A 12021-nucleotide genomic window follows, 5' to 3' on the forward strand; every position below is an offset into this window, starting at 1 on the left:
TTCCATAAGAATTAAGGAGCAGAGAAGTCAAGGATAAATTGTCTGGCAGGTACCCAACAGCTGAAACTCTATACTTCTGATTAGATGCGGATGTACACCTAAGAACTTGGCATCCACTTGTGAAAGTGAAGGTTCCTAACCAGGCCATGTACTTGTATAGACCTACGTCCTCAAAGAGGCAGACCACAGTGTACCCATGGGTAGGGGCCAGATTTCCTTCAGGAAATAGTCCACAGTTGCTGTAACATGACAATAAATGAACAGCCAAGATCCATGGAGTGGCCATGGTGTGGGACATAGATAACAACCCTCCCACCAACATTAGACACTGCACAGTTAGTTTTCTGTTATCCTGTTTTGGTTTTATCATGTATACCTCCCCACCCATTAGAGTAGTTAGTTGAGAATTGACTGTTAAAAATGAAATCAACCTGCCGAGAAAAAGTCATGTTGGATGAATCACTGGGGCCCTAGGCTGTTGGCTTCATGTTTAATTTGGATGCTTCCCAATCCAATCTTGAGTAGGTCACCCCATATAGCTTCCTCCATCAGCAGGATGATTTTGTTTTAGAAAATATGTACACTTGGTAAACTGTCAAAGTGAGTTGTACATATGGTATGTGTTGTTCAGAGGGAGAAAATATTTTCAGCACTACTTGAAGTCTTTATACCTGACAATGCATTAAGAATTCAACACAATAATCTTATTGTTTTAGCTGTTGCTTTTACCATTACTCATGCAGCATGACTGGGAAAAAAATTAATGATCCCCCCCACCCCCACAGTGTTTGGTGTGTGTGAGTTTAAAAAAAAAATCTTTTGGTTTGGGATGAATGCGTCGAACAATCCACCATCTGGTGTACAAATATTTTTATAGACACGAATCCAAATACCACAAAATCAGTGCCATGGCTCAGGTTCTGTGAATCTTTTTCTGAGGCAGACTTTTTATTAAATATGATTATTCTTGAACTATGAGACTCTCTGCAGGAGCATTAAGATTTAGCCTTGAGAACAAAACTCTTTATGTTGACCAATATTTTTAAAAAGATGGAAAGAACTCTCTCTGGAGCTAATTTCAAGGAGGACAAAAAAGAATTTTGTTTTTGTTTTTGCTTTTTTGTTTACATACTAAGCATATACAAACTGAATCAGTGACAACTTCTGTTACATTCCTGCTGTAATCCTGGCTAGTGGAAGAAGATAAGATATCAGTAAGCTCTGCGGGCATCAAGTTTCGGCCCTGTCAGGTGTAATCAGAACCCTGGTCTTAAAACGAAGGCCTCCACTCCACCTCCTCAGGCAGAGGACACTTCATTCCCCAGCCCCAGGCACTGAGAGGAAAAGGAAGGATCCATCCTGTAAGAGCAAAATAAAACAAAATAGCAACACTGGGTTTGTGCGTTCCCTTTAACTCTTGACACCCTGGAATTAATGCAAAGTGGTCTGTATTTAATATCGAATTCCCTCCCCTCACAATGCGATAATGACAAGAGATTTTTAGAAGGCGTGGAAATTAAGAAATTTTAGAAAATTAAGATTCTCCTCTGAACCTAATGTAAAGAAAATTGATGAGTCTGTGCATTTGATGGGATTCCTAGGTCAGCACCATGTCGTGAAGACATTTTCTGAGATAGTGAGTTTGCTCAAAATGTCACTCCAACTTTTAAAGCATGGAGAAAATTGCTTGTCAGTGAATGTACCACTCAGAGCAAAATAGAATTTTTATTGCTAGATTTCCTTTCAAAGTTAAAAATAAGGATAAACAGAGCCAAACGGCTGTTTGGGGGAATGTAGTGATCTGGGGAAGAGAATGATGGCATATCGTTGGAGCTTCCAGCTTTGCTAGTGGAACTCATTGGAATGTCCATGAAAATCACCACAGAGTTCAGACATAGTTCTTAACTGGCAAAACTGTCCTAAAATGACTGGACTCTGATGCAGCTGCCTTGGGAGAAGTGGGAGAAATAACAGTCCCACTTCAGCGATCTGCAAACTAAGGTACAGTGGAAATTGAGCGGTCGGGCAAGGGTCACCAAAACTCAGTGGTGAGCGGGAGACAGGCCCAAAGAGCTGAGGAAGTGTAAACTCCAGTGATAAGGCGATAACTTGAGGAAATTAAAACCCCGTAGTGTGGGAAAGAACAATTAGCCAAGACAGAGGGGCAGGAAGGAATACAGAATGAATTACAATCAGAGGAAACTAGCCAGCAACAAAAGAGATGAACTGGCGGGGGCGGGGCGAGAGGGACGGGAGAAGTGACTTAAGAATGCTGGCTTCTCTGGGTTCCATCACCGCCTTCTTGTTAGGTCGCCGTCGCTGCGATCATGATTTAACCCCTTCATGCCTCGGAGTGTCTAGCTCCAAGGCAGCTATCTTTATCCATGAAGTTCTTTGAGATTGTGCCACGAATATGATGAATTCCAGATAAGAATGACTGCATCATTAGTTTAGAAAAAGTTACCCCCGCCCCTCCAAAAAAGACAGAAGTTTAAGCTTATATAGATTAGCAAAATATTTCCATCAGAAACATAAGAAGGAACATGTAAAACACAAGTATCAGCAAATGCAGATGTTTTCAGACCAAGAAGAAAGTGTTCATGAAAATGAAATATTTTAAAGGAAAACATGTAAAAGTGTTTCAAACTGATTTTGATGACTATCAGGATGACCTAAGGGGATGAAATGTCCTATAACTAGTAGGAAATGATAGAAAAAAAGTATGATTGTTTTATGAAAATAATAATTTGCTTATTTTAAGTCAATGAGTTTGTCACACATGATTATGGGCACGAGAGAAGATATGCTATGAGCCCAAAATTAAATTGTCTTTTACTTCAATCCTAAAAATCAGCAGGCAGAAAGCTAAGAGGAAGCTCTTCTTTAATCAACCAAGATGCTAAAATCATGGAGAGAAAGGCAAAAAAGATAGACCACAGTAGCTAAGTCATTCAAAAGAAGGGGGAGAGTTGATTATGTAGAATGAAGTGGAATGAAGATGCTAAGTAGGAGTAGAAAAACATGATACTATAACAAAGGGTTGATTGAGCAAACAAAGTGGGTAATAAGGCAAATTAAACATTCTTATAAATCCTGTGTCCAGGAAATGAATTAACTGCTCAGACTAATAAATGAAGAAGCATCACACAGAAGATAATGATTAAATGTCACCATGGGAAAACAGAAGGTTCCCGGTTTATAAAACCAGCACGCTTAAAAAGAAGAAAAGGGTGGGGGCATTTGAAACAATACTAAGAGGCTTTAAAAGTGAACTGAAAAAAAAATGTAAAGTAGACAGTGATGGAAGGACAGCCTTAGAAGACACCTCAATGATACAAGATTCTTTAAATATCTTAAAGGGATTGTGGGTAAGGAGGAGCATCCAGGAAATTGAAACATTAAACTTGGGTTTATTTTAATTTATTTTACTTTAATTTTTTGGTCTTGCCTTCATGAGGCCAATAAATGTACCAGAAATGGAAACAGTATCAGAGAGTGATAAATTAAGAACAATGAGGAATTCGCTTCCAATAAATTAAGTAACTCAAGAAAAGACAACTCCTGAGTGGGAAGAAAAAGCTGCAGAGATTAATACTGCCTTCATGCAGCATTTGGATGGCTCCTAGGAATCATAAAGATACCTGGGGAAATCAGAGCCAAGTAAATCTAGTACCTTTCAAAAAAAAATGGACTACGGAGGAAGCAGAAAAATGCTAGCCTTGCAACTCGGGAGCAATTGAAATATTTAAAGTATAGATAAAGCAACCAAGGTGGAATTACCAAATACCTAGAAATATATGAGTTCAGCAGACAAAACAATCAAATTTTAGGGAAAGTGACCTCCGGAATAAAATCCTTATAGAAGTTTTCAGGCTTTTGAATTTTGGCCACTATACTACAGTTTATAGAGAAGATGAATAAATGGACATCTATTAGCAACATCATGATATTCTGCAAATGGCATTTGTTAACTAACATCATAGAATACAGATTGATAAGGAGGAATTGGAAGAGATTAAACAGTCCTCTCCCCCTGGAGGTGCTGACATCAGCATAGATACAAAAGTATCCATAAGCGTAGGCATCCAATGACCGGAAAGCTAGTGGCATCTGTCACACATGCATTGTACAATTGCAATGCATTGTATGCGTGAGCAAGAGCATCTCAATCTCAGATTCATTTAAACAAATAAGTCATCACAGAAATAGTACCTATGAAGAAATCCTTGAAGAGGTTTTGGAATGAATGGTTTGCTGGGCAGGCAGGATATTTCTGATACAAGAAGAGCCTCTGAGAAGGCCCACAGCCAGGAGTGGGAAATAGGGCTGAGGAATCATGAACAGGGCTGACAGAGCATAATATTCGTAAGAAGTGATGGGAAAGATTAGGTAGCCTATAGTAGGAGACAGATTTGAGCATGGGCTTTGGAGTGAGACAACCTGGTTTGAAGCCTAGCTCCATAGTGGTATAATCTCTCCCCCACCCCCACCCCCACCCTGACCTCTGTGTGCTTTGGTCTCTTCATCTCAAAATTGGAATTTTAATATACTTACCTTAAGGATTGTGCTAAGAGTTAAGTGAGATGTTCTGTGTTCAAGCACCTAGAAAAAATAAGAACTCCAATATTAGCTATTGCTGTGAGTGAATTGTAGTCAGTCCACAGATGATAACACTCGCCTTCCTCATTTCCTTGGGGTCATCTCTTTTGACTTTCTGCTGCCTTTTCAAAACTTTTACACTGTCTAAGGACAACAGCCCTACCTGGCTCTCTCACTCTAAGAGATGGTGGGAAGGACAGTTTCACTCTCGATTTCCCTGTTCTCCCCTCAAAACACACTCTTTCTTCTTAGCCCCCTCTGCTGTTTCTGAGAACACAGTGCCCCATTTCTTTCCAAAGCTAAAACCTCTCTGGCAACAGAGAACCCGACTGTTATGGATTCAGCAGTTGACGGTTGACCTCCAGCAGGTTGGTGCTCCATCAGTAAGCCCATTCCTCTCTCCCAGCTGCAGTAACTCCTTCCTGTCAGCCTCCAGCCCTGCTCAAGTCTTCTCTGGCTCTGTGCATTTCTTCCTCCAATGTGCAGAGCCAACACCACCCACTTCTTTCCTTCCCTGCATAAATGAAACTCCCCTCTCTCTGATTTTTACTCCCCCTTCCTCTGCTGAAGCAGCTGGTTTGATGGCCACCAAAGGAGAAAGTTTTTCTCCATCTTATTCTATTCTAGTTTTTTGTGATTCTGTGTTACCTCTATTGACAGATTGTTTTCTCTTTTCTGATGGTTTCTTTATAGTCTTCTTTTGCTTTGCTCAGGTTGTTCCTGTAAGTATCTCCAGGGATTCTAGACTTGGCTTGTTCAGTTTCTCACACTGTACTGAACAACCTCATGTAAACCTTCAAGCCCATGATTTATCATTTCGTTGTTATTGTTGTTGTTTTTGAGACAGAGTCTCACCCTGTTGCCCAGGCTAGAGTGCAGTGGCCCGATGAAGGTTCACTACAGCCTCGACCTCCTGGGTTCAAATGATTCTCTACCCTCAGCATCCCAAGTAGCTGGAACTACAAACACACGCCACCATGACTGGCTAGTTTATTTATTTTTCTGTGGAGACAGGCTCTCACTATGTTGCCCAGGCTGGTCCTGAACTCCTGGCCTCAACTGACCCTCCTGCCTTTGCCTTCCAAAGTGTTAGAATTACAGGCAAAAGCCAGTGCACATGGCCATTATTTATCATCTCTCTGCAGGTCATTCCTTGACTATCCTTCTGAGGCTGGAATTTCCAATTGCTTTTTGAAATTCTCACACCATTGCCTTTTCATTCATTTATTCATCCACTCAAAAATATTTATTGAGTGCTACCGAAACATGTTTAAAACTATCTACTTAAATAAAATAAAAAATAAAAAAATAAAAAAAAAAACTATCTAATTATCTCTCTCCATCCCCACTCTCATCTGCATTTTGTCCTGCCTTTTCTCTGGGTAAATGATATCCTTTTCTTAGGAGCAGAAGCTAATTTTATTTCTTTGTAATCTCCCAAAGTGACCTAGTATAGTTTCTAGAACTAAATGGGACTCTATAAATACTGTTGAATTATATTGAGCTGAAATCATACATGAAGTGATAGACAGTTATGAGAAGGACCTTAGAGGACACACATCTATTCATTCTTTGGCAAAAACACAAATAGACTCAGTTATCAATTAATACCTCTCTTGCACTAATTTTACTTTTAGCATTAAGATTCTAAAATTCTATACAAGTAGTGCAGAAAATTTATGTAATAGGCCTAAAAACATTAATTTTAAAGACGGAAATAGAATTGTTCATAGAGAGGACTATCCTTTGTCTAGCAAAAGACCTTGGATATGAAAGATGAAATCTCCAAAGCTAACTTAATTTGTATAAGAAATGTATCAAGAATTGAAAGCTATTACATGCCTGTAATCCCAGCACTTTGGGAGGCCAGGTCGGGCAGATCACTTGAGACCAGGAGGAATTTGAGACCAGCTGGCCAACATGGTGAAACCCCATTTCCACTAAAAATACAAAAGTTAGCCATATATGTTGGCGCATGCCTATAATCCCAGTTACTCTGGAGTCTGAGGCATGAGAATCGCTTGAACCCAGGAGGAAGAGGTTGCAGTGAGCAAAGATCATGCTACTGTACTCTAGCCTGGGTGACAGAGGGAGACCTTGTCTCTAAAAATAAAAAAAGAAAAAAGAATTGAAGTCTGAATAAAAAAGAATGAGATTATGTCCTCTGCAGAAACATGGAGCTGGAAACCATCATCCTCAGCAAACTAATGCAGGAACAGAAAACCAATCCTACATGTTGTCACTTATAAGTAGGAGCTAAATGATGAGAACTCGGACACAAAGAAGGGAACAGCAGACACTGGGCCTGCCTGAGGGTGGATGGTGGGAGGAGGGAGAAGATAAAAAAAATTATTAAGGCCGGCTGCAGTGGCTAACGCCTGTAATCTCAGCACTTTGGGAGGCCGAGGCGGGCAGATCACAAGGTCAAGAGATTGAGACCATCCTGGCCAACATGGTGAAACCCTGTCTTTACTAAAAATACAAAAATTAGCTGGGCGTGGTGGTGCATGCCTGTAGTCCCAGCTACTCAGGAGGCTGAGGCAGGAGAATCGCTTAAACCTGGGAGGCAGAAGTTGCAGTGAGCCAAGATCATGTCACTGCACTTCAGCCTGGCGACAGAGGGAGACTCCGTCTCAAAAAAAAAAAAAAAATTATTATTGGGTACTAGGCTTAGTACCTGGGTGACAAAATAATCTGTACAACAAACCCCCATGTCATAAGTTTCCCTATATAACAAACCTGCACTTGTACCCCTTAACCTAAAATAAAAGTAAAAAAAAAAAAAAAAAGAATTGAAGGCTGAAAGCCAGAAGGGAAGTGAGAAAGAGGAGCTCAGGGCAGTGAAATGAAGTGGAAATGTTGTCAGGGAACTCTACATATAAGGGGTTAAGAGTGACCAGGTGAGTTTTAAACACAGGGATGTCCCATATTTGGTTTTAAGTTATTGGCTGTGCAGTGTTGTAATTGGATGTAACTCCCATCCTATATCAAATTATGTTTACATAATTAAGAGAGTCCACTAAAGTGATTTTTCCTGAGCAAAGAAAGTCTGCTCTGTGTTCTGATATACATTTTTAAGCACCTCTCACTCATCATCCAAAAGTGTCAGCTGGGTTCCACCTACTAATGACCAGTTATTCTATGAGATGATCTGAAAGATTATAGAATGGCTAATAAAGGGAGTAGCAAAAGCCTGTCACACAATGAATACTTGAAGAGCTACCAGGCGTCTGTTTGACAGAGGGGATTGCCCTGCATGGCCATGAGATGTGCGTGACTCACCCTGGAGAGGGGAGCTCCTGTACAAATTGACCATTCATGGTCTTAGTTCTGAACTGCCTTTCTGGACCCTTCTTTCTGTTTCTCCTCTACTTTTGATGCTCTGAGCTAGCAAGTTTGATGTCCTTCTTCTGTTCCCTATTCTAGGTCTGGGCTTGATGTTCACCGATTTTCCCTCAGCTCCGACTGTGGCTCCTCTCAGCTGACTCTGACCCTGCTCTCAGCCGGGCTGCATCTGCCCATCTCAGGTAAACATGGCTGAGCCTAGGTAAACTGTGGGACCTCTCAGCTGGAGCTCCACTCCTGTGCGTGGAACACCTGGCTGGTTTGGCAATTGAATTAGACACTGGGAAGGCATGAGCTGACATCGCTCTTCCTTCAAATATTTGGAAGGGGCAGTTTCCTTATTCACTACGGCCTCGAAGCAGAGAATGAGGAATACTGGGGCACTAAAAGGACTGAGTGTAACTTAAAACAAAAAGGCGCTCGACAGCAGCCAGAGCTACCACAGCTGTCATTTTGTCCTCACTGAAAGGGCTCCAGCAAAGGCTGGATAACCATCAAGTGGCAACACTCTGGGAACGTTTGCAAAGGGAGCCACGCATCCTACAGATAATTTTACCAGCAGGTTTGCAGGTTCCTTCAGCACTGAGCTTCTCAGATTCTAAACTTTTATACTTCTTTGAGTTAAAAAAAAAAAAAAAGTCAGATGCAGCTGGGCGCGGTGCCTCACGCCTGTAATTCCAGGACTTTGGGAGGCCAAGGCAGGCGGATCACCTGAGGTCAGGAGTTCGAGACCAGCCTGACCAATATGGTGAAACCTCGTCTCTACTAAAAATACAAAAATTAGCTGGGCATGGTGGGGTGCACCTTTAATCCCAGCTACTTGGGAGGCTGAGACAGGAGAATTGCTTGAACCCGGGAGGCGGAGGTTGCAGTGATGAGATCATCCCACTGCACTCCAGCCTGGGCGACAGAGCAAGACTCCCTCTAAAAAAAAAAAAAAAGTCAGATGCTTGACTAGAAGGGACAACTCGGAGTGAGAACTGGAGGGTCATTCGTGTGTGGTTGTTGCCAAGGAGGAAATTAAAAACTGAGAAACAGGAGAGTTAAAATCTAAGTTGGGAGAGGGGAACCTCAGATCCCTTCTGAGGATATAGTTAAACTGTCTGTGTTTTCTGTGCCAAACAGAGCAGCTTAGACCTAAAGAATGTCAGCAATTTTCATCCTCCCACACAGCTACTTTATAATAATTAGTTTTACTACTTTTTTTCACAAGCTATTACTTTAATTATTTTAATTAAGTTGTTCATGCACTTGCGTTGCTTACAAGCACTTTTCTTTTTATAGCACATCAATAAACAGCAGAGGGAAACTACCACCTTGGAAGGAGCCAGGCAGTTTCTGCTGGGTAGGCCGCAGCCTGGAACATGGAAGTAGCTTCTTCCATCCTACACTGGAAACCACCCAGCATCCCGGGCCCTCCAGAGAAGAGCCAGACTCCCTTCCCTGGGAAGAGACTATAGTCCTATCTGTATCCTCCGTGGTCATTGCCCCTCAGTCACAGCAATGAAGAGCAAATTACCTGTTTTCTGTATGTTCCTCTGACAACAACTGCCACAGAGTAAATATGAAAGGTTCTGGATGATTCCTTGTCAGCTTTTATTAAAATTCCACATACTTGGCATTTCTTAGCTATCTGGGTTGACTCCTGGTTCCACCCCTTACTAGTTGCGTGACCTTGAAAAAGTGACTTACCTTCTCACATTCTCAGTTTCCATATCTGTCAAGTGTAGGTAAAAGCACCAAACTGGTAGAGTTATTTTGAGAATTATATGAGTTCTGAGTGAGAGGGTGCTAAGACCTTGCTGGTTAGAGTGGTTTTTCAATCCTGATCACCTCCTTCTCCCTCTTAGCTTCTTTTCTCCTCCCCCTCCTGCTTCTAGTCTAGGCTTCTGGCAATTTTGACGTAACAAAAGTGGGATTCCTTCATTCCTGACTTCAGAGCTTTTCCTTACTTCAGTATTGCATGATAATTCTCAAGCCTGTTCTTTACATAAATACAAAAAGGAGAAAGTGAAATAGTAGAGGAACCGACCGATTTGAAGGAGCTGCCACTATTTGATTCCTCCTGTTAGGACATCTGAATGACCCCAAGTTCCTGTTCTTGAGGCTGTTGTATCATATTCTTAAAAGCTATGCATGCATTCTGCTTTGAATGTGTCCCTCAGCCTCATTCTTCTCCACTTGCTGGGGGCCATCCCGCCCCACGGGAAGGTAAGTTCAGGCTCAGAAGGAAAGACACGACAAAAAAATCTTGCTTTTATTTTTGTTGTCTAAAATCATGTTTCATGCTCTTCTTTGAATAAAATCCAGGACTCCAGAGATGACCTGTTACTTTTCTTTCAGCAAGTCTCTAATTTGCCGAGGAGTAAACTTGTAATGAAAAGAAACCAGAACTCCCCAAGGTAGCTCCCCCTCACAGTCATTCCTCAAGGCAGGGGATCTTTAGAGCAGACCTCAAGAACTCCATCCTTTCTGTGAAATAGGGCTGCTAACTCAACACCTGTTAAGTATGATTTTTTAAAATATATTTTTTGTTAAAACTTTGATTAATAGAGACAGAAACTTTCACTCCAAAACCTTTGCTATGATTAGATCTAGAACAGAGACTATTTGGTCTACGTTTGAACTGAAAAGTTTGCCCTTGACCTCGTGAATTGTATTGTTCTAATTAAAGTGATAACTGCAGTATTAGCTTTTATATAATTCCAATAACCAAATCGAGACTGCCCATTTAGGTTTTCAAAAGGAATCTGTTAGCACCATCTTGTGACTATTTTGGTACCGCTTAAAGAACAAAATTTTCAGCCTGAGGCTTGCTTGTGTTCAAAAAGGCGTCTTCTCGCGCCCTCTTGTGATGTGTTACAAAACTGGGAGAAACAACAGATACAGGATAACGCCTGTGGTTCCAGGAATTGCTCTTCCTGCTATCATAGCTATTAGTGATTCTTTGAAAAATCACGGCTATTAATAAAAATCACTTCTATTAATTTTGCTTGTAAGTTAATAAAGCAAATTACAAAGCAAATATATGTAATTTGCTTTATTAATTTACAAATATAAAGTAATATGAGAAATAACAATAAAGTCTCATTGTAACCTCAAAAATGGAAATCAAGGTAGGAGGCTGAGGAGGGTGGATCACGAGGTCAGGGGTTCGAGACCAGCCTGGCCAACACGGTGAAACCGTCTCTACTAAAGATACCAAAAATTAGCCGGGCGTGGTGGCACGCTCTTACTTAGGAGGCTGAGGCAGGAAAATCGCCTGAACCCGGGAGGTGGAGGTTGCTGTGAGCTGAGATTGTGGCGCCACTACACTCCAGCCTGGGCAACAGGGTGAGACTCTGTCTCAGAAAAAAAAAAAAAAAAAACCCACAAAAAGTTAAAGCTGGCCAGCCAAAGAAAACATAAACTATACTTATGCTATTTCCTCACAGCAGCAGCACTTTGGTTCGTAAATGGAAGTGCCCGCCATCTTGGTAACTAAGCTTTCTACACACTAGGTGCTGCTCTAATTTTGTCACATGTGCATTCGCACCACAAAGAGGTAAGCCCTTTACCATAATCCTCATTTCCCAAAGAGAAAACTGAAGCACAGAGAGGGAACTGCCAAGGGCCAGTGACTGGTCAGTGACAGAGCTGGCGGGTGAAGCTGGGACTGAAGGCCAGCCACTGCAGGGGCCGAGGGAGAGCTTTCCCCTTGTTTCTCTGAAGGTTCTCTGAAGAAATCAACTAGCAAAAAGCAGGTTAATTGGAAAAAAGGCATACACATCTATTTAACATGTATATATGGGCGCCTTCAGAATGAAGACTCAAAGATAAAAGAGAAATTGTCCATTTTTATGCTTAGGTACACCACAGTATGGACAGCCATGTAGAAATATGACTGGATGAAAAGAGTATGATCCAATGCTAATAGACTGAATGGGGACGCCCAGCAAAGCCTGTCTGTCTGGATTCTTCTTGGCCTCCTGAGCACCATTCCTTCCTTCTGGGTATGGGGCAGGACCCTGTCTGGAATGGGGGGGGCGGTTATACGACTCATAGTCAAACAAGGTGGGTCAGATAATTTCTTTATAG

General features: G+C 41.6%; 1 long non-coding RNA gene across 5 annotated transcripts in view, besides 1 other annotated feature; it reads left to right on the forward strand.

Moving 5' to 3' along the window:
- Positions 1-9523, forward strand: part of ARHGAP29-AS1 (ARHGAP29 antisense RNA 1) — an 86939-nt gene extending 77416 nt beyond the window's left edge. For 4 of the 5 annotated variants that reach the window (XR_001738153.3, XR_002958338.2, XR_001738152.3 and 1 more), the window contains 2 exons: positions 8026-8126; positions 9229-9523. This is a non-coding gene — a long non-coding RNA (ARHGAP29 antisense RNA 1). Of the gene's footprint in view, positions 1-1817; positions 2002-8025; positions 8127-9228 lie in introns of those variants that run through there. The other variant, XR_001738155.2, reaches the window with a different exon arrangement.
- Positions 2036-2547: an enhancer, noted in NCBI's record as "OCT4-NANOG-H3K27ac hESC enhancer chr1:94792875-94793386 (GRCh37/hg19 assembly coordinates)". NCBI's record gives its function as "activates a minimal SCP1, AML or CMV promoter by ChIP-STARR-seq in naive H9 embryonic stem cells {active_cell/tissue: H9 hESC(naive)}" and the evidence as "EXISTENCE:reporter gene assay evidence [ECO:0000049][PMID:30033119]".
- Positions 9524-12021: the final 2498 nt, after the last annotated feature.

Source organism: Homo sapiens, chromosome 1 (assembly GCF_000001405.40).
Source record: "Homo sapiens chromosome 1, GRCh38.p14 Primary Assembly".
Lineage (NCBI taxonomy): Eukaryota > Metazoa > Chordata > Mammalia > Primates > Hominidae > Homo > Homo sapiens.